Here is a 21,067-nt window from a genome sequence, read left to right as displayed (position 1 = left end):
GACTATATAAGCAATTAGGATGTTTCTTAAGAGTATTAAGTTGTTCTTAATTAATCCTTAACATCAATGTATTTTTTTAATTGATTCAAAATGTTGGTTGAATTTTAGGATTTATAGACTTTTCAGATTCATAAAATTCTGTATATTCTTCTCAAATTTGACTTAGCTCCATAAGAGCGGGGGGAATCAGCATATGTAGACAGGAGGGACATGCAGTTTGGACCACATAGGTCCAATACTTCCTCTTTTATTTATAACTTATAAAATTCTAGTTAGGCAGATATATTGAGTTCTTCTCTTTCCATTCTTAATGTTAAATTTGCCAAAGCTTGTTATATGTACAACGGAAATATGTATGATAAAGATGATCAATACAAAAAAACTTTTGCCTAATTATTTGACTACTTCATGTGAAAGTATTCTTTGGGCCTAAATTAGCTTAATAATTGCCTCGGTTCTCTTGTAGTTTGTAGGTTGAAATTGTGACTCTTTTGTATGTTGAAACTGTGTCTCTAGAACATTACTAAGAATTTTTCCACAACAGAAAATAGACTGAATTTAAAAAAATTGATGATTATGAAAAATTTGGTGATTTCCAGAAATATGAGTTTACTCGTTTAAAATAGATGACTCAGTATAGAATTTCATGTGATAATGTTTTTCATTAGTATTCATGATCTGATCCTAGAAATATTTTTCTCGTGTTTTTTTTTTTTCCCAAACAATTTATTTTAGATTGCAACTAGTAGATAATTGCTTTATGTTTTAGGGAAAAGAATCGCTTAATTATTGTAATCCCTCAAACACAATATTGGAACTTTTACCATGACCATTTCTAATGCCAGCCCCACAATATAGCTGAATCTTGCCATCAAGCTTACTATCTAAGGAATCTCAGTCTTCTTTTCTAGTTTATGAACTACGGTAATTGAAAAAAGGGATTTCCAAAAGATAATTGTATTGATTAATCCAATTTCTGGGTTGAGCATAAGGTTGTAAATTGGAGATCATTCATATAAATTGAATACAAAGGGAGAATTTTTTTTAAGTCTTTTTTTGACATATTAAATGATTTATGCTGAACTCCTAAAAGCTTTCCAGCCCCACAGAGCTTCAATAGATGTCTAATGGAGTCCTGAATGCCAGCTCTATTTTTGTTGCTTATACAGTAGGTGGGAAACCTTTAACAGTAGGATGAGTCTTTGTTTCGTTTCCATTGAAAAGCTCATGGACTAACATTTTATGACTTCTAATGTTTTAGTAAAAAGTTTCCTGATGTGACAAAATATACATATATTTATAAAAGCTTAAATATATAGATATGTTGTTCCCAAGTATAAGCATACATTTTTATCAATCTATTGAACCAAATCCAGTTTTTACACACACACATATCTCTCTACCTACCTACCTACCTACCTACATACCTACCTACCTACCTACCTACCTATCTAGATAGATAGATAGATACAGACACCTGCATGTTGTGTGTATGGGTTCCATATTTATTATATGTTAGCTGGTTGAGTATTTCATCAGATAATAGGTTCTCTAAATACAGAAGCTGTTTTATCCACCTTCCATCACCCCCCACAGAGTATGATACAGTGCCCTTTACAAAATGGATGCCAAATTAATGGTTGTAGTGAATGGTGACCACAAGAATACACATTTAATCAGAGAAAAATCTACCATTTGACTTTGTTACAGGTACATGGGAAAGATGTCACTTAAAGTTCCTTTTATTGTCAATTAGAACTGTTTTATCCTTATCTGGTTAGATGGAAGCTAAGCTCTGCCACTTTTATATAGTTTTATTTATAATTGTGAACATGTAGAGCCACATGAGGCCATCAATCAGTAGAGGGATGAGGGCCCAACAGAATTATTTCTGTAGGTGGCCAATTTTTTTTCAATCAAGGACAGCTGAAAGGTCATGATTAAAACAGTGATTTTCCTGAAATTGTAAGTGACTGTTAGTGACTGTTTTGCACAAAGATGTCAAAACTACTTTTTTCTCTGAAAAAGAAAATTATAAGTTCTTGAAAACGTTGGCAGTGTTCCAAATTTCACTTGCACTACTGTAATGTATTTTAATTATTGCACTTGAGTCAGTTTCTTGAAAAATATAAAAAGCTAAAATAAGTTAGTGTGATAGTGGGCATACATAGATTAAACAATAACCATCTAATGCCTCACTGATATGTACAAATTCATTACTCAATATTAGCCAAACACAAGGATTGAACAGTTTGTGCTCAAAGAGAGTGCATAGCATTAATTTATATTCCTTTATAGAGATGAGGAATGAGATCACTACATTTTCTATTAAAATGTGGTAGTGATACTTGAGATATTTAAGTAATTTGCTTCATGTAAACCAGTTTGCAAAGGCAGCCAAGGATAGCAAATGTTTCTGTCAATTTCTGTAGGTGGCCCTTTAGTCTCTGAGTCAGGATTGACTTCAGTCCCTGGGTAGTGGCAGGGAGGACTTACTGCTGGTTGTCATCATCTTTCAGATGAGGTGTGGACATGAGGTTCTAGCCATTTGTAGTCATTAAGGATTCCTCAGAACCTTTCTAGCAAGAGGATTTTAACTGTAGTGTTCTGGTCAGTTTCCAAATCGAGTAATTACATTCAGCCTCTTAATATCTTCCTGCAGGTTCTGTTTTTGTTTATTTGTTTGTTTGGGGTTTTTATCGTTGTCATTGCTGGGATATATGGCGCTACAGTTTTTCGTGTGTGTACATCTCTCTGGTTTTAAGCTGTTATGTGCTTTTAAACTTCCTTAGACTATACTGGAACAGAACTGAAGATGCATATTATTAGATGCATATTATTTTAGCCTGCATTAATAATTTGTGTTCCATACATTTACTCTATGTTTTAGTTTAATTTTTTTCTTTAAGAGACACATATAAAAGACAAATAAAAAGAAATAATGGCAAGAGGAGCAACAGATATGGTGGCAGATATGGGCTACTCTGTAGGCTCTGGTTCAAACATACCTGCTCTCCTTTACCTGGGGGAAGAGGCTGGAGGACAGGGAAGATGAATGACAGTTGCTGAGCATGCAGGGGGATCATAGGAATCTATACAGTGTGAGTTCATTTAGAATGAAAAACTGGTAAATTTCTATCTGAGCCCAAGAATGTCGTGGTTTGTTTCCATGTTAATTGTCTTTTCTCCCATTGATAAGCACTTTAAATTTGGATTTGTAAGGCAGCAGGATGTATCTTTGATTTTGAAAAGCAATATTTTGGTATGTCATAATTTGATGGCTAGGTTTTGAATTCGATATTTCATTCATGATCATTTATTGTAATCTACAGAAAGATAAAATTGTATAAAACCAACATTAATTGTATGCCAACCATATTACAAGAACTGCATTTGATGAATTACTTTCGAAGATACTTCATCTGGTTCAGAAAACACACTGCACCAAGTAGTTATCCTATTATATTCCTACAGGGTTAAAAGAGATTTTTTAGAACATTTTATTGTTATTTTATTTATACAACAAGAAAAATGATAAAATGAAATTCAAAATAATTTAGTTCTAAGCATAAATTTTGTCCATTAATCTGAAAACCTACCCTGCTAGTGGCAGTAGGAAAAGCCCATGAGTCGGAAGAACTGTTGTTCAATTCTGGCTCATACAAACTCTATCATTTCCAAACTAATAAGTTGCTTAGCTTCCCTGTCTCAGTTTTCTGCATTGTGAATAGGAATGATTCTTAATATATTTGACTTACCTGCTTACAAAGTTTTAACTAAATGGTAGCAAATACTATACCTTGTAAAGTAAACTTTAAGCTAGAATATAGTACTTTTATCACTAATAATTTGTCTTTCATCATATTGGTTTTACATATAATCCTTAATTAGAAATTCCCCTTCATAGCTTTCCTGGAATCTTGGTTTGAGATTAAACCTGATCTCGATTCTGTATGATAGAGCTTTGATCTTCCCCAGAGCAGTATCACTGCCTCTGAAATGTTCTCTTCCCAATACTGGATAGTTTTGCCTTTCTCTAGTTCATAATCTTACCATATCTAGGACACACAGGCTAAACAAACAAAATACTTTAATCCTTTCCTGCCATCTCTAGTTATCTGAAAATACCTGTTGTACCTGACAGAATCAGGGCCCAGTTGTCACTGGGACAATGGAAGGCTGGTCATTGAGAATTGGAGAAAATCACCAACAAGGAGTAGGACATTGGAGCAGATTATAGCAACATGTGGAAGCTTGTGCATACAAAGTAGCAGATGACCTCTGTAGGAACGTATCTGGTCAGACAGGTGCTGAATATCTAGCTGTTGGCCTTAGCAGGTGTCCGGGGAACAAGGCTGGAGCACAGGGACTGGAAGCTCCGTCAGCTGATGGTGAGCAGTGGTCACACTGCTAAACTGGCCTGGAGCAGCAGGAAGCCTTGGCACAAGCAGCAGACTCTCCCAACACACTAAATCCTCAACGCAGATTAAAGACCCGATAACCAAAGAATTCAGGTAAAAATCATGGAAACTAACTGCTGACTCAGGAAAAGAGCAAAACACTAAAATTAAGTTATTGACACTGATTAACACCAGGATCCTGGCTGCTAGAACTATGAGGTCTGCCTGGCTTTGGGGCCAAACAATGAAGCAGCTCAAATCACTGTCGTCTTCTTTGACTTTCTTACTCTAAGATCTTCTCATGCATACTGCTTATCTCACTCACACAAAGCAGGAAAAGGGAGAATTTAAAGCCAGGTGCGGTGGTGCACGCCTTTAGTCCCAGCCACTCCCTTGAGTCCAGGATCGCTGCAGCCATGGTGATATAGCAAGACCCCACCTCTTAAAAAAAGAAGAAGAAATTCATGTAATTTTTGAGAACATAATCCTCATTCTCTTTTTTTTAAATTTTATCTTAATTAAAAGAAGGTTATTTCCTGTCTTATTTGATTCTGTTTTCTCCCAATTATAAACTTTCTCCCCTTGGAGTTGCTGTAATTCATATAAAGAGGTTATACCATAATCCATTGATTTAAGACATGTTTAGCACATTTTATCCCATAAGATTGGGATGCATCTTAAATTGATGGTTTATCATATTTTAATTGCCATAGTATTTTTTCCTGGTGACACATGAAATATTGGGTTGTCCTCAAATTAATGGCATCTTGGATGAAATACCAAGCTTATCTAAGAGTCTTTTGCTACCCACAATGGCTCCAAATATGATCCGAATCACGGAGACCAGAGAATGTCTATAGTGTCACATGAAGTCACTGACACTGAATGTCATGAGGCTTCATAGAGCCCCAGTAGTTAGTAAAATCCCTTGAGTTCCTAAGCCACCTTTTCCACATCTTGCCACAGTTCCATCATATAGGAAAAGAGCAATCGGACAGGGCTTTCCAAGAGAGGAGACCTCCGTATAGGTTTTTAAGAAATATTTTGTGTCTTAAATTGCAGGAATGCATCTATTGCATCTGATATCTCCTTTACCTTGATAAGATTTTATGAACAGAGTTTAGATAATCCCTCCATCTTTAAACATATATATGTATGCGTCCAAAAGTGACATTCTGGAGTTTGGAAATGACACAGGGTCTTCTTTCTCTAGCGGATCCATTTCCAGCATAAGAACTTTTGGGTAATATTCATGTATTTTTATAATTCTTGCTATTGTGAAACTCAGGCTTAACTTTGTGTTTTCTGTGCTATTTTGGTTACTATATTCTATAAAATTTTTCACCTTTGCCTAAAATAAGCACAAATTTGTAACTGGGACAGTGAATAATACATGAAACTTTTTTTATTTTTCTCATTGTCTACATGAAACAGATACTTGCAAGGTAATGATATCATTCCTGGAATTTCCTCCTTTGAATTAACATATATTTTCATTCTGCCACATAGAAGCCCTTCTTCCCCTATTGTAAGAGCTGCAGGGTATCTGCCATTGGTAAGCTTAAAATTTGGAATGTGTCTCAATATTGGAACTTGTCTCAATATGTCCTCATATTTGGACAATGTCTTGATTTCATGATTTTATAAAGCATACATACATAAAATGATTTATATCAAATTTTCATAGGACAAAAATAGTGCATAGAGCCAATGAGAAAGAAGACACAATATGACTTTACTGAGAAAATGAAATGAGGGATCTGAGGGTAAGAACTAGAATCGACAAACTAAAAAACAACAGCTATTTATGGAATTGTGGGCCTTGCTATATTGCCTCCCCCAGATACAAAGATCTCATTTTGAAGGCAGTATCAAACTTCCACTGAGAAATAATTGGATGTTAGGATGAGACCTCCCAGATGAGACTTAAGAATACTCATACTTACTTGGGATGCCTGCTTGGAAACTATCTACTCATTTAGTACTATTCATGGTTGATGCAGTATTAGAGTTGATATTTGAAATCACCTATCAACAGTACCCCAGGAAAACCATGTGTCCTGAATATCACTTCTTACTGGAATATGAGAAAGAGCCCTCTTATTTAAAAATGAAGAATTCCAGAGTTTCCAGCTTAAGAAATTAAAGGATGAATGAGGATTTATTTAATACGGATGGATCCCTGGCTCTTAGGCCTTTCAGGTATTGGAGAACGGCCAGTATTTCACCAGTGAGGAGGCAGGGAGAGACTCTGGATGCTGAGTGCCTGTACTTGAATAGACATTCAAGTTCTAACAGCCGTCACAAAGCCCTGACTACTGAGGAAGTTTCTAATAATTGCTAATGACAGACAGACACACATGGGAAAAAGTTACTGTAGCAAAAATGAGATGGGATATGGTAACTGAGATAGGGCATTCAGTTTAGGATTTCAGTCCTTGTAGGTAGTGTTTTCTGGTGGAATATATCTTGGACATGATCACTGAAGGTAATGGGATATTATTTTGCAACAAATCATTTTTAGAAATCACTTTCCATAACTACACAACTGCTTCATTAGAGGATACAATATATAGATCATCATCTCATCTGGAGCATTTTCGTTACATTTCACCTGATTTTCCTGCCCCCAGCCTGTTCTTAACTGTAATTCATTAGTAGAAATGGATTAATCTTCCTAAATCACAGCTCTGGTCTTGTTACCTCCCTGCTCAGAAATGGTTCCCTGAATGACCTACTGAATGACATCTAAACTTATAAGTCTGATGTTTAAGACTCTGTGCTTTGGCCTTTTCCTTGATGCTGTAGTCAACTATGTTACTCTTTATCCATACTTTGCATTTTTCTACTGTTTTTTTTATTTCTACTTGATTTCCAGGTTATTTTTATGTTGACTTACTATTGTCCATATTTCTACATTACTGTTACCCTTTAAGACTCAGTTCAGATGTACTTCATTTTAAAATCTTCACTCATTGTTTTAGGAAATAATGCCTTCTTTTTCACATTTAAGTATTGAATAAATACTTGTTGCTTGACAAATTTTGTTCCTCTGTACAGTCTATACATAATAGATATATCATTTGCTATTATAAAGAATAAAAATAGATTGGATAAACAACAATACTAGGGTATAAATATTTCAGAAATTGATTATGCAGGGGGCTCTTTGTCACTTGTGGATTTTCCAAAACTTTGCTTTTCCTCCTTTGTTCTCATGCTACCTAACTCTGGCTCTTTGCCTTGTTCATTTAAATTTTAGCTTAGGAAGTGCACAGGAAGAAATGAAGCATTCAAATTACTTGAAAAGAGAAGCATTCAGACTTTGTTCACTCCCAGCTTTTGATCATAACTATAATTCTCTGTAAGCAATCCAATAAAACTTCCCATTGAGTTGCACTTGTGTTTCCTTTGAGCTTGAATTTACAGCCTACTATTGGTAGATTAAAAATCCATTAAAATCTATAAGAACAGCAGAAGTTACATATCCCTTTTGCTGTAGTAAAGATTTTTCTAAAAGATTTTACATTAAAACTCCGTTGCTAAGTAGTGATATTAATAGGCCATTTTAAAGTCAAACTTGGCTTGTCCTTAAGCCACGGAAGACTGCACAAGGAGTAGCTTCCCATATTCTATGAGATTGAATTTTGGACGAATGACTGAGACACAGTTGATTTTTTTTCTCATGTCAGAAAGACAATGCTAGACTCCATTAACAAACAGCAGACAACCTCAAAGTTAAGTGGTAATGCAGAGGATAGTTGGCAAAGAACATGTTAGGAAGGGGTGATAATAGATTCAGAGAAAGAGTGTCCAAATAATTGTCCTGTAGATAGTGAGAAAAATGAAACTAGAGAAAGGGTGAGAGGTCCGGGATAGAGACGTAAATTTAAACTAATATGTAGATAAATGGTAATGAAAAGTCACAATGCCCAATTTTGTAAAAACACTCAAAGTGCAGTTATGAAGCAAATGTATTTCTGTCTGTGCCTTTTCAAATTGATGCTTTTCTTTGATGTAATACTTTGTACTTTTCTATAAGTTAACTTGCTTTCAGCATCTTAATATTTTTGCAGATATTTAACAATTAAGTTTAAAATCAAAAGCAAGAGATATGATACTTGCAGCTCAGAAAGCAGCAGGACTTCAGTGGGTTGGAACGCAACTCTTCTTGCTGTTGTCCCAGGTGATTTTTCATCAACCAAGTCTTAGATCAATCAATTACACAAATATGACACTATTACATCTTTCTTCTGGAGTTATCTTTCTGTTGGTCTAATACTCAGATGCTTCTGAGCCACGCAAAGTAAAAGCCCCAGGTAGAATATCCATGAGATGGGACTGATTGTGCTTCCATGGTTTACCTATCTCAGTGGCCTGCCCTCCTGGCCCTGTGAAATCAGTTTGGAAACTTGCCCTTCTTCTTCTTCCTGGTGGTCTTATTAAACTTTTCCAAGTTTTGATGGTTCTACAAACCAGAATTTCATTGACATTTTCACCTACTTTTACTTTTTTTTAATGTGTTTTATCATGTTTTCTTTTTTACAAAAGCATTTTGTGTTCATTGGAGAAATCCTAGGGGAAAAAGAGCAAAAAGAAGAAAATAATTTTTAAAATATGCTAATTCTGCCAACCAAAGAAAATAACCAGCAAGATTTTGGCATATAGTCTTTGTTTTAAAAAAGGTAAATTTGTGTAAGATATAATGTTTATTAATAACATATTTTTAATAGAAACTCATGCTGTAATAGTTTTAGAGCCTACTTTTTTGTTTAAGGGCATATACTTTTTTTATATAGTTAAATATTCTTTATACTTGATTTTCATATCACAGTATCTTCTATATGTACCAGAGTTAATGCATCCAATCCCTTGTTTATGGGCAATTAGTTTTGCTTTCTATTTTCTGCTTTCTATTCCCATTGCCATTCCTGGAGTTATTATAAAGCCCTCATCTTACCTTATTTAAATGATTTATTTCAATATTGCTTCAAATGAGTGCTTGTGTTGAGTGAACTATCAAATCCTTGTAGAATAAGTTAAACAGCAGATACAAAAACAAACGCCTCTTAAGATTGTGGCTTGTGTAAAGGCTTTGATGACTTTCCATTTTCTTCAGAACAATTTCTCAGCATTCGTGTAGGTTCTTCTCTAATTTACTCATGTTCTACCTTTATGACTTAACCATTTAACCTATGTTCACTCACCTCATACTACTCAGAATTCTCTAAATATTTTGCTACCTTGATGTCCTTCCAGTGTTGTTTTTTTGTTGGTTTTGTTTGTTTGCTGATAATGCCTTTTATTTTTGTTTCTGCCTGGTAATATCCTACTTATTCTTAAAGATAAGGTTAAATTCTCCTTTCTGATTATCTTGACTGACTCTCCCAGTCATATTAATTGCTCCCTACTCTATGCCCCAGTAACCTGTGGTTGTTGTCTTTCTCATGTTATCTAGTTGAGAGCATAGTATAATAAGAAGCATATCCTGTAGTCTTTGGACTCTGATAGTCTTAGGTATGAAGCCAGAGTTCATCTCCTATAATTTCTCCATGTCAGCTTCAGCATTCATTCATTCAACGAATGTTATTAAGTACCTTCCATGTTGCAGACCCTGTGTGGAGCTTTGGAGTACAATGGCAAACAAATAATATTAATCATGGATAACATTTATTATGGAATGTCTATGTATGAGGCACTGTTTCAAGTGTTTTACACATGTGGGCTCATTTAATCTTTACAACAGGTTCTATTACTAACCTTCTTTTAGGGCTGAGGAAATTATGGAACAGAAAAGTTCAGCGCTTGTGAAGGACACACAGGTAGTAAGTAGCAAAACAACAATTCAAACCCAGGTGGTCTGTTCTCACCTGCCCTCATTGTCAAGATGATTTATTGCCTCCTAGAACAAACAAAATCACGCATAGTCTCTCCTTTCTAGAATGTTCAGGCTAGTGGGGGAGAAATATACTAAATAAATAGTGACACGGACAAACATAAAATTAGAATGTGGTAAGTGCTATGAAGAGGAAGTGTATAGCACTATGAGAAATAATAGATTTTAAATAGCTTGGGAGGTTAGCAGTGTCTGAGAATGGTGGGGCTGAGGGAGAGGATTGGAGTGCATCTGAGGTGGAACTCAGAATCCTATAGGCCATGTTAAGTGATATCTATTCTAGGAGCAATGGGAAGTGATTACATATTTTTAAAGCAGGTATTTCAAGGGTATGTTTAGTTTGTAAAGATCCCTCTGTAAGCATACAGAAGAGTTTTCAATAAGGATGGTAATATATCTGTGTAAGGGTATAGATAGACCCATATCTATATCCCATTATAATGGTAAGTGAGAAAATGTGTTTCAGAGTGTCTAGTGCAGTGTCAGGCTGGCAGTGAGCACTGTCAATGCTGTTGTCTTTCTTTATTCATTATCTTATTCACTGGATCTAACACACTACTCTGCAAAATGTAGCAAAACAATAAATACTTGTTGATTGACTAACTGAATTAAAAAATCATTATAGAGATTTTTTTTAAGATTTCCAGAAACTAGAGACTCTATTCTTCACAAAATAGTCCATTAAGTAGCTTTATGTATGAGAATATATTTTCTCATTTTGAGCCAAAAATCTGATTTCCTATAATTCTATTTAATTTTGCCTTCTGGACCTGTAAAGAATGAGTACAAATCCTGTTCTGGGATACTCCTCAAACAATTGAAGGAAGTTGTTTGAAATATTTCTGTTTTAGATCCTTCAGCCAGGTAATGTTTCACCAAGACTGTGAAGGACCCACTCTTTTGTTAGCTGTACCACTCAGAGTCAAAACGTTACATGTATTCTTCCTAGTCCAGAAATAGTGAGGTTATTAGCATTGTTATTTAGGGTGTCTGTCCTAATTAACACACCTCAAAATCACATTTAGTATTTTGAAAGTAACATGATGTTTATTCATATTGAATTCATATTCTGTCAAAATCTTATCTGAACTGCTTGAAATCATTTCTCTTTTATCCTGTGCTTATGCCATAGGTTGTTTGAATTTGGCAGCTTTACATTTATCAGTATTGATTTAAATGTAATCATTTTGGTTAAAATGTTTTTGAATAGTGATTCTATCATCTAGTGTAATAGTTGTTTCTCTAAGATTTTTGTTTTGTATGTACTTGGGAAAATCTTTTTACAACCTTAGTTTTGTTGTTGATCATACTATCAAATAAGGTAGAATTAAAGTTAGAGCATTTATTTTACTAAAGATTTCTTTCTGGTTGTCAATGACTGCCAGATGTTATTTGATTAGCTGTAAGGCTATCTAATTGTCCATTTATCTCTACTGTAATTTTTCATCTTATTGTTAAAAGTTCTACTGAAAAACCAGAATCAAATCTAAGGTATTTGCAGATAGGTATAATTAAAGCTTTTGAACAAAAGAAATACAGATAGCATGAAATTATATATTGTTAGTAAAGTAAATAACAACAAAAATATGTAATGAGTGGTTACTCTGTGTCAGACACCTTTCTGAGTGTTTACATACATCAGTTCTCACAAATTAATTGAAGGCGAGTAGGTACTATCAATGTCTACAGTTTGTAGATAAGAAAACTCAGCACAGAAGTTAAATTACTTGCTAAGTTCATATAGTTAGAAAGAAGTGGAGTCAGGAACTAAACCCTCGCAGTTTGGCTCCAACTTTGGTGCTCAAACCATATTGATTCAGGAATCTTAATTTTGTATGTGCTATAGGAAAACAACATAAAAATTGAAACAATGTGGCACTTTCAGGAAGAAGTTTTGGAAATTTTTTTTATATTAGATTTTTTTCTAACCTTCCATATATTGAGGACTTTTAAAATACGTTGCTTTCAATCTAAAATAATTAATATACCATATATTTAAAATGACTTTTAGTGGATATCTACTGTCTATGAGAATAACATCAACTTAGTTGAGGAAACCCTCAGAAAAATTATATGCCAGGACAGCTTAGTTCTATTCCTTATGGTACACTGGCAACATAATAGCAAATGAATAATAAACTTAGCTGTGGGGAAAGACAGGAAAACCTTTGCAGTCATTCATGGATGTAAAAAACACAGGCATGCTGATTATGGTGTCTTCGTGCACGAATGCTGTTTCAATAAATTTTTAAAAATTGTGGCAACATCAGAGGTTTGTAAAATGGCAGGAAAATGAGGTTTTGGAAGATAATTCCAATAGTGGAGTAGTATATGGTTTTATTGGAACTTAAAAAGATTGCCTAAACATGACCTTAGAGGAATACATAATCTAGAAAACGCATACTAATAACAAATGTGTATGTGGTTGTCTTGTATTTGGTACTAGAATATGGTTCTTAGCTTCTTTGTGGGAGAAATCTCATGACTTGATGCAAATTATAATGCTGGTAAAAGTGACACTATTTCAGTAGGAATTAACAATTTTGGGCCAGCCGTGGTGGCTCATGCTTGTAATCCCAGCACTTTGGGAGGCTAAGGCAGATGGATCACCTGAGGCCAGGAGTTCAAGATCAGCCTGGTGAACATGATGAAACCCCATATCTAGTAAAAATACAAAAATTAGCTGGGCGTGGTGATGAGCACCTGTAATTCCAGCTATTCGGGAGGCTGAGGCAAGAGAATTGCTTGAACCTGTGAGGCGGAAGTTGCAGTGAGCTGAGGTCGTGCCACTGCACTCCAGCTTGGGTGACAGAGCGAGATTCTGTCTCAAAGAATTAGCAATTTGGAAATTTGGATTTTTTCCTAATAATTTATATATTTAGGACTTTTCCAGTGAATTAGATTTATATGAGTAATCTATCCTTAAAGTACGTTGGAGAAAGCTTTTAATTCACTGAAAGTATCCTGTAGGTGAGAAGGAAAAAAAAAAAGAGTCCCAATAGCATGTATTTTTCTTTTTGGTTCCATCAACAACAACAAAATCCTAATCTGGATAACTAATATGCTTAAGTATTCTCTGAAAAGACCTATAATATATTGGAGCTGTTTGAGTGCTCCTACAAATCATTTTGCTTTACAGCTTTGATCTTGAAATATGTGGACTGATATCTGATTTATGCTGTTGGTCCTTCGTGTAGGTAGTTAAGTGTTCTTGCTTAAAGTTATTAAATTAAGCCCAAAGCTATAAATGGGCCCCCTTGGCTTAGAGCATATGAAAAGACCTTTCCCCTTTAAATTTTATCCCCTTTAAATTCTATACTGTATCCTTTTAGTTTTGTTTGCTGTGGCCTACTAATAATGTCTTTTTGTCCTTTTGGAAAGTATTTATTCACTATCACCTTCTCTTGTCATCCTCTAAAATATGTTTTCCTTTATTAATAACTATTATCTCTAAAAATTTGGGGGACCATATTCAAAGAAGATTACTTGAGAAACCTATTGTGTTTTATAACCTGTGAACTTACTTCTAACTTAATTCTACATAGAAGTGCTTAATGGAAAACAAATCTGGTAGCATAAAAGAAATGAAGGAAAAGTTAAACTTGTTTCACATGGTATACACATGGAGATGAAAAATGGTTTGGAAGCATACCTATTTGAAAAATCTAGACCATATTCTAAGAAGGCATATATAGAGGGCCATTTTTGAATCATAGTTATTGATTTTGCTTTTCTTTTCCACTGAAATTTCAGCTATCCTTATTACCTTATTAAAGGGATGATCACTATCTTACCTTTTGCATCTTTGCCTCCTAGAACTTAACACAGGATTCAGTATATTTTTAAAATAGAAAAACAACAATAACAATAATACTAGCTAATTCTAAAATATTGCTTACCATGTGCCAGGCATGCTTCTGGGTTTTTCCTGTGTATTAAATCATTCAATTGTCACAACAAAGCAGGGTATATTATGATCCTCATATACATAGGAGGAAATTGAGACCCAAGAAGTCCAAATAACTTGCTCAGACTCAGATAGTAAGTGGAGATAGATACATTAAAACAATATAAACAGGCAAAAGAAGAGAATCTATGGCTATTTCTGTATGTTATTGGTAAACTATAGTTTTACCATTCAGTCATTCATTTAGATGTATTTATTTTAGCCTGGTCATCCTTAGTGAATGCAAATTGAGGCAGGATTGGTTGACAGAATATTGAGCAACAGGGCAAGATGATCAAACCTATGAGAGTAGAGAAGAGAATCCAACCAAAGTTAAGTAGGCATTATCTAATTTGCATTTCATGGAATCAGACCCCAATGGGGAGCCAGGTCAAAAAGTCAGTGTTTACGGTGAATATTAGAAATGATGAATTCCTGAAAATCCCCAGTAAGCCTTATAGTTGAGACCAGTATACCATTCCTCAGTAAGATGCAATACAGCTAGTTTTTCCTCCAACCATGGAATATCTTGCTCTTTAGATGAGAAGCAGGGGATGTAGACAGATTGTGTTGAGAACCATGCAATAAGAAGCAACATGAAAAATACTTCTCTTTAAACACCAGAATCATTCTAATGGCGAGATGCTTATACAATGAGATGCATAGGAGATCTGAGACGAATTCAACTACAAATTCACATCTCCTGTGTGAGCCATGGGTGAGTTGAGTAGAATGGTGGTAGAATTATATGGGTTACATTAACTACTTAGACTTTGTCCTATTTTTCCTATATGAAAATAGTTGAAATTCTCATAAAAATGCATGTATGATGTGAAACTGAAGTATAATGTACAGTCAGATAATTTTGAATATATTTTGTGAAATAGATGTTTATGATTTATAACAGCAGTATTTTAATTTCTATGCAGCTTAAATTGATGCTTGGATAGGGGAAAAGGATGAAGAAGAAACTCAATGGTATGTTAACTGAGAGAATGAAGTAAAGTGGCATAGTAACGACAGTTATAAAAGGGGCACTGCATACCCCATTGCTGTCAAGGGATTGTAAACTTCCAGACTGGGCTAAACGAATGCTGGGAAAGGTCTGTACAGCCACAACAAGTCCTTAGACTTAGGACTTAGAAGCTTATTTGCAGTAGTTATTTTAGGAGTTACAGGATTCTGGGGACTAATTCATGTTAACTGAATTTACAAGACATATATATATTTAGTTGAGACATTTAATTACCAAGATAACTAGAAATCTCATCAGTAGGAAGGTCTCCTTGGGCTGTTTGTTGCTATGTTTATGAAGATGGTTTCATGAACATGGAGGGAGAAGCCGTAAAATGGTTTTAACTAATGACCAGGCATGATAGCTTATTCCTTTGGGAAGCCAAGGCGAGAGGATCCCTTGAGCCTTGAGCCTAGGAATTTGAGACCAGCCTGGGCAACATAATAAGACCCCATCTGTACAAAACATTAAAAGTTACCTGGGCATAACTTTTCCTATAATCCTATAATTCCTATAATCCCAGCTACTTGGGAGGCTGAGGTGGGAGGATTGCTTGAGCCTGGGAGGTCGAGGATGCAGTGAGCGATGATACTACCACTGCATAACCTGGGCAATGGAGTGAGGTCCCATAACTTTTCTTTTCTTTTTTTTTTTTAATAAAAAAAAAGATTATAAGGCCTAATATGCCTTTCTCTCCCTCAGAAGAGTTAATTCATTAACTCACAATAGACCAGAATACAGATGCTCCTCAACTTACAATGGGTGGGTTGACCTTTTGATAAACACATCCTATCCTAAGTGGAAAATGTCAGGAATTGAAAAAGCATTTAATACATCTAACCTATGAACACCATAGCTTAGCCGCACCTACCTTAAATGTGCTCAGAACACTTACATTAGCCTACAGCTGGGCAAAATTATCTAACACAAAGCCTTTTCAAATAAAGTGTTGAATATCTCATCTAATTTACTGAATACTGTACCAGAATCAGGAGACACAGATGGGCATTTTGTATACATGATGGGATGCAAAAACACAAAATACAATATCCGAAAAGCTCTGGCAACACAGTGCATTGCAGAGTCTTAGTTGTTTACCCTCATGGTTGCGTGGTTGACTAGGAGCTACAGCTCACTACCACTGCCTATCATCTCAAGGGAGTATCCTACTACATATTGATAGCCTGGGAAAAGATCAGAATTCAAAGTATGATTTCTATTGAATGCATATCATTTTGTACTGTGGTAAAGCCAAAAAAATTGTAAGTCGAACTATTTTAAGTCAGGACCATCTGTGTGCAATGAAATGTCAAGGTAACATACCAGGGCACCTTTTCCATGGAAAGTGTTACAAAAATTGATTCTTCTCCTTTGGTTCTTTTGCGTTTTGGTTTTCTAGATACTGTTCGAATATTTAAAGAGTGCTCTACAATGTTAAATGTTTATTTAGCTCACAGTTTAAAGAACTTCAGTTAGTTATGTTTTAGTTTCCTTGATAACATTTGAGATATCTAATTAGAGGTAACAAGCCCGCTGATATCATTTTTATGTGACCAACCATTTCTCTGTCATTTTTTCTGCAGATGGTAAATCCCATATATTTTACCTTGATTTTGTATCAAATTCTATTTCAGATGGTTATATATACTGAAATCGTCCTCCAATTCTGTTTCTATCTATCTGGAACTTGTCAAAGATGGGTATCATGGGGGAAAACATGGCTTTGAAGACAGGCAGACTTAGATGAATACACTAGCTGAGTGATCATAGGACTATTGCTTGATCTCTGTCTTAGTTTCTCCATCTGTGCAATAGAAATAATTCATTCTACTTTATACAGTAGCATATAGAACAATGCCTGGCACTTAGCAGGTGCCAGACAACTTAGCTTTCTTTTCTATAAAAGGTTTTTAGGAGGAAAACAAGATTTTTTTTTATCTAAAATACTTTTCACAAGGGTTTTTAACCAAAGGGCCAAATCTGGCCTACATAATGTTTGTAAAAATCATATTTGAAGTAATTGCCAACTTTAAACATCAGTAACTGTCACATAAAAATCTGTATTTCTCACTTATCTTGAAAAAGTGTATTTTCTGGCACAGAGCTTCCCCAGTTCTGCTTGGAACTCCAGGCAGAAGCTGAGTATTGGCTGCTGCTTTGGACACAGCATTTGCTAAACAGCTCACTGCAGTGCTTTGAATGACTTCTCTAGGCCTCTGCACCTGGAACTTCTTCACTATGTTACCCTTTTCCTAATGAATCTTCATTTCATGATATTTTCACCAAAGAACAATAGAATCTGTAAAAATAAATACTTGCAGTGCTTAAATGGGAAAAAAAAAAAAAAAAAAAAAGTCAAGCTCTTGTTTTGTTACTCTAAGGTGTTTGTACTTTCCAAACTGAAAGTTGGCCGATGGGATCTCAAGATGACACTGAGTGTTTGGAACTGAGACTTCTGTAAAGAAACTTTGTTACTGTGGTTCCAAACCACATGGACACTCAATTAATGCTGTTGACTGATGACTGTGAATTTTCAAGTGTTTTCAGTTTCACTGCCTTTGTCCTGGACTGCCCTGGAGAGTGGTAGCAATGACACACTGTTTGGAAAATTAAAGTGCTATGTTCATCCTTGAAACAAATGGCAAAGCTATTCAGGATTGGTATTATTCTGATGTTTTGGTAAGGATCCTATTGAAACACACACACTAAAACAAAGTCCTGGGTCAATTATCGCAATGCATCTTTTGAATGAGAAAGACTCAATGACTGGTTTGACAAGAGCCTAGTGACCCTGTGAGTGTTATTAATTTTATTATCCCAAGTGGTTTGACAAGAGCCTAGTGACCCTGTGAGTGTTATTAATTTTATTATCCCAAGAGAATAACGAAAATAGGACCTATTGTTTAGCTCTCAAGCTAAAATTTTATACCATTATCTATATGAGCACTATCTGAAGAGTCTCCCACAGAATATACTTATGGGAGAAAGAGTTGAGTACAGTCATAACTTTAATATAAAAACAACCCTTTAAATATGAAAATAGTAGCATGGCTCTAAGTCCAAAATGTAGAGAGACGATTATGGAGATAGAAACCTTGAGATCTATTTCTAGATTATCCTGGCACTCAGGCTCCTATGATTTTCTGTTTAGACAATACCCCATAAAGTATCACAGTGAATTTAAACATCACATTTGCATTTTCTAGGGTATTTATGATGATTTTTCTGAGTGTACTTTCTAGATGAGACATAGAAATATGGTGGTTAAAAGGGGTCTTTGGAATTAGATTGCTTATATTTGAAGTCAGGCTCTGACATGTATAAGCCAGCTATGGGATCTTAAGCAAGTTTTCTACCCTCTACATTTCTTCAGTTTCCTCAGCTAAAAAATGCAGGTAGTAATAGCACCTCCCTAATTATGTGAGTGAGAAGAATGAGTGAGATAATGTTAATAATCCCTTAGCCCATAAGAAAGGCCCAAGCAATGCTGTTATTTTGTTCTTACCTTGGTTTAAGATGTATTTCAAACACAACATGGATTTGAATAAAGAAGTGACCTGTGATTATTCCATTCAGTTACCAAATCTAAACTAAATTGATGACAAAAAAAAAAAAAAAAAACAAAAAACAAAACTTGACTGCTCTGAACATAGTATGAAGTACTACAAATTACCACATCCTAAAACAATGCTTTGGTCTATTGGTGGACAAGTAATCATCAGAAATAAGCTGTTTGTCTATAACCTGAAGCTGCAGATCCAGGGACTAGAGTGTTAGGAGGGATGGGGAATTCAAAATATGGGAAATCCAGGACATCTAAGTTCAAGATTCTCTTGGACTTCCACTTCGCCACCACATCTTTGCCCCTAGTGCAATGTATGTAAGAAAATACCAGGAACAGGAGCAGACTCCCACTGCAGTGAGGAGCTTGGATGTAGCAGTGGACTGTCTTCATTTAAACTCAAACCCTCTTTAGTCCATGGGTCATAGACCATATGATTATTTGCACCAGCCATACAATCACATTGTAGGCAATTTGCTCATTGTAGCGGGCTTCTTAAACCACAGCAGGCTGTAATGACATTCACATGTGGCCAATGATTTAGTTTAAGACAAAGTACTATGTATTTAAATATTATTTAACATATACTGTTTCTCTACTCATCTTTGAAAACTTAAATGTGTGTGCTTTATACTGTAAATGTACTCCCCCACCCCGACATTTTTATCTTTGAATTTTGTTTTGTTTTGTTATTTTTTTTTCTTCCCCAAAACAGGGTCTCGTCCTGTTACCCAGGCTGGAGTGCAGTGGTATGATCATGGCTCACTGCAGTCTGAACTTCCTGGGCTCAGGCGATTGTCCCACCTCAGCCTCCCAAGTATCAGAGACTACAGTCATGCACCACCACACCCAGCTAATTTATAGTTTTTGTAGAGATGGGATTTCATCATGCTGCCCGGGCTAGTCTTGAACTCTGGAACTCAAGTAATCTGTTCACCTCAGCCTCCCAAAGTGTTGGAATTACAGGTGTGAGTCACTGTACCCAGCCTTATCGTTTAGATTTTAATCTCAATTTTTGCTGTCTCAAGAGTTTCATTTTTTTTTTAATGGATCTTGATGGGCCTTGCCTTGAGAAGAGAAACTAGCCCACTTCATGATAGAGGAGTCATTGCCCAGTTGGCTGTTCGGGTCCCTTTTGTAAGAGAGGCCCCTAGATACAAAATCTGTGGCATTAGGGAAGCCCTCTCTAGTGAAAACCATTTTTATTTTTAGTACAGTCAGGAGATAATGATAATACCCATTCCTTATTTTCTTGATGTATCTTACAGTCCATACTCTGGTCTAAGGCAGTTGGCCCCTCTCGTGTTGGCTCCACAAATCTTGTGTCTTTGTGTAGAGCCCACTGGAGATGGACAGGGAATGAATGTGAGGAATATGGATAGAGGTATATAGATCTACAGATATACACACACATACAAATAAAATATATATGACATAGATGATATATATGTAGTCTATTTTATAGATTATAAGTGGCATTTTATAACCTAAGGATACAAGGGATGAGGGTGTGTCTGTGTGTATTTGTGTAAGACTGTAGATCTTTGCTCCCAGCGTGCATGCACTGTGCTTACTGCACAGGAAGCTGACAGTTTCTCCACCCTTGTGGAAACAGAGCTTCTGAGAGTAGAGTACTGCTTCCAGAGAAACACTGTCACCCCAAATATCCATCGTACTTTTTTGGTATGTCCCAGTTTTATTTTTGTTTTGGGTTGCTTTTCTCTTTTATGGGGTTCCCCACTTAGATATTACACAATCCTTATAGTTGAACTGAAAATACTATGTGCAAAACTGCTGGAAAATTGTTCCCACTACATGAAAGATGTTAGAGGACTGAATAACATGGATGCCAAAAAGACAAAATATGAGGTGAAGCGAAGGAATATTTAACTTTAATTGCCATGTACAGTATGATTCCAAATATAACTAACAAATGTTGAAAATATTTGCATGCTCCATGTAGTTTTCGGACAACTCTGGAATACACTTCTGAGCTTTGAGGTAAGGCCCTGTGAAGGGATGCCTCATAATCAAAACATAGCTTTTAGTCTCTGTACATGAACTTCCAGAAGTATGACTTGTCAAGAAGACTGGCTGCAAGGTACCCCCTTCCTGTTTCTGCACTTTTCTTTTTGTGGCTCTGTAATCTTGTTCATTGGGTGCTTGGTGATTATTTTCTCCATTAAGCAGTGTCCCTTTTCTTTTCTTTTTTTTTTGAGATGGAAGTTCACTCTTGTGGCCCGGGCTG

The 21,067-nt window shown here is 35.5% G+C and overlaps 1 protein-coding gene across 20 annotated transcripts in view, besides 1 other annotated feature; it reads left to right on the top strand.

Moving 5' to 3' along the window:
- Positions 1-21,067, top strand: part of SOX5 (SRY-box transcription factor 5) — a 1,033,147-nt gene that overhangs the window by 366,795 nt on the left and 645,285 nt on the right. The gene's annotated exons all lie outside the window — the stretch shown is intronic.
- Positions 17,818-17,867: a silencer, noted in NCBI's record as "silent region_4290". NCBI's record gives its function as "represses an Ori minimal core promoter by ATAC-STARR-seq in GM12878 lymphoblastoid cells {active_cell/tissue: GM12878}" and the evidence as "EXISTENCE:reporter gene assay evidence [ECO:0000049][PMID:35858748]".

This window comes from Homo sapiens, chromosome 12 (assembly GCF_000001405.40).
Source record: "Homo sapiens chromosome 12, GRCh38.p14 Primary Assembly".
In the NCBI taxonomy this organism is placed as follows: Eukaryota; Metazoa; Chordata; class Mammalia; order Primates; family Hominidae; genus Homo; species Homo sapiens.
This window is presented reverse-complemented; position numbering and strand designations above follow the sequence as displayed.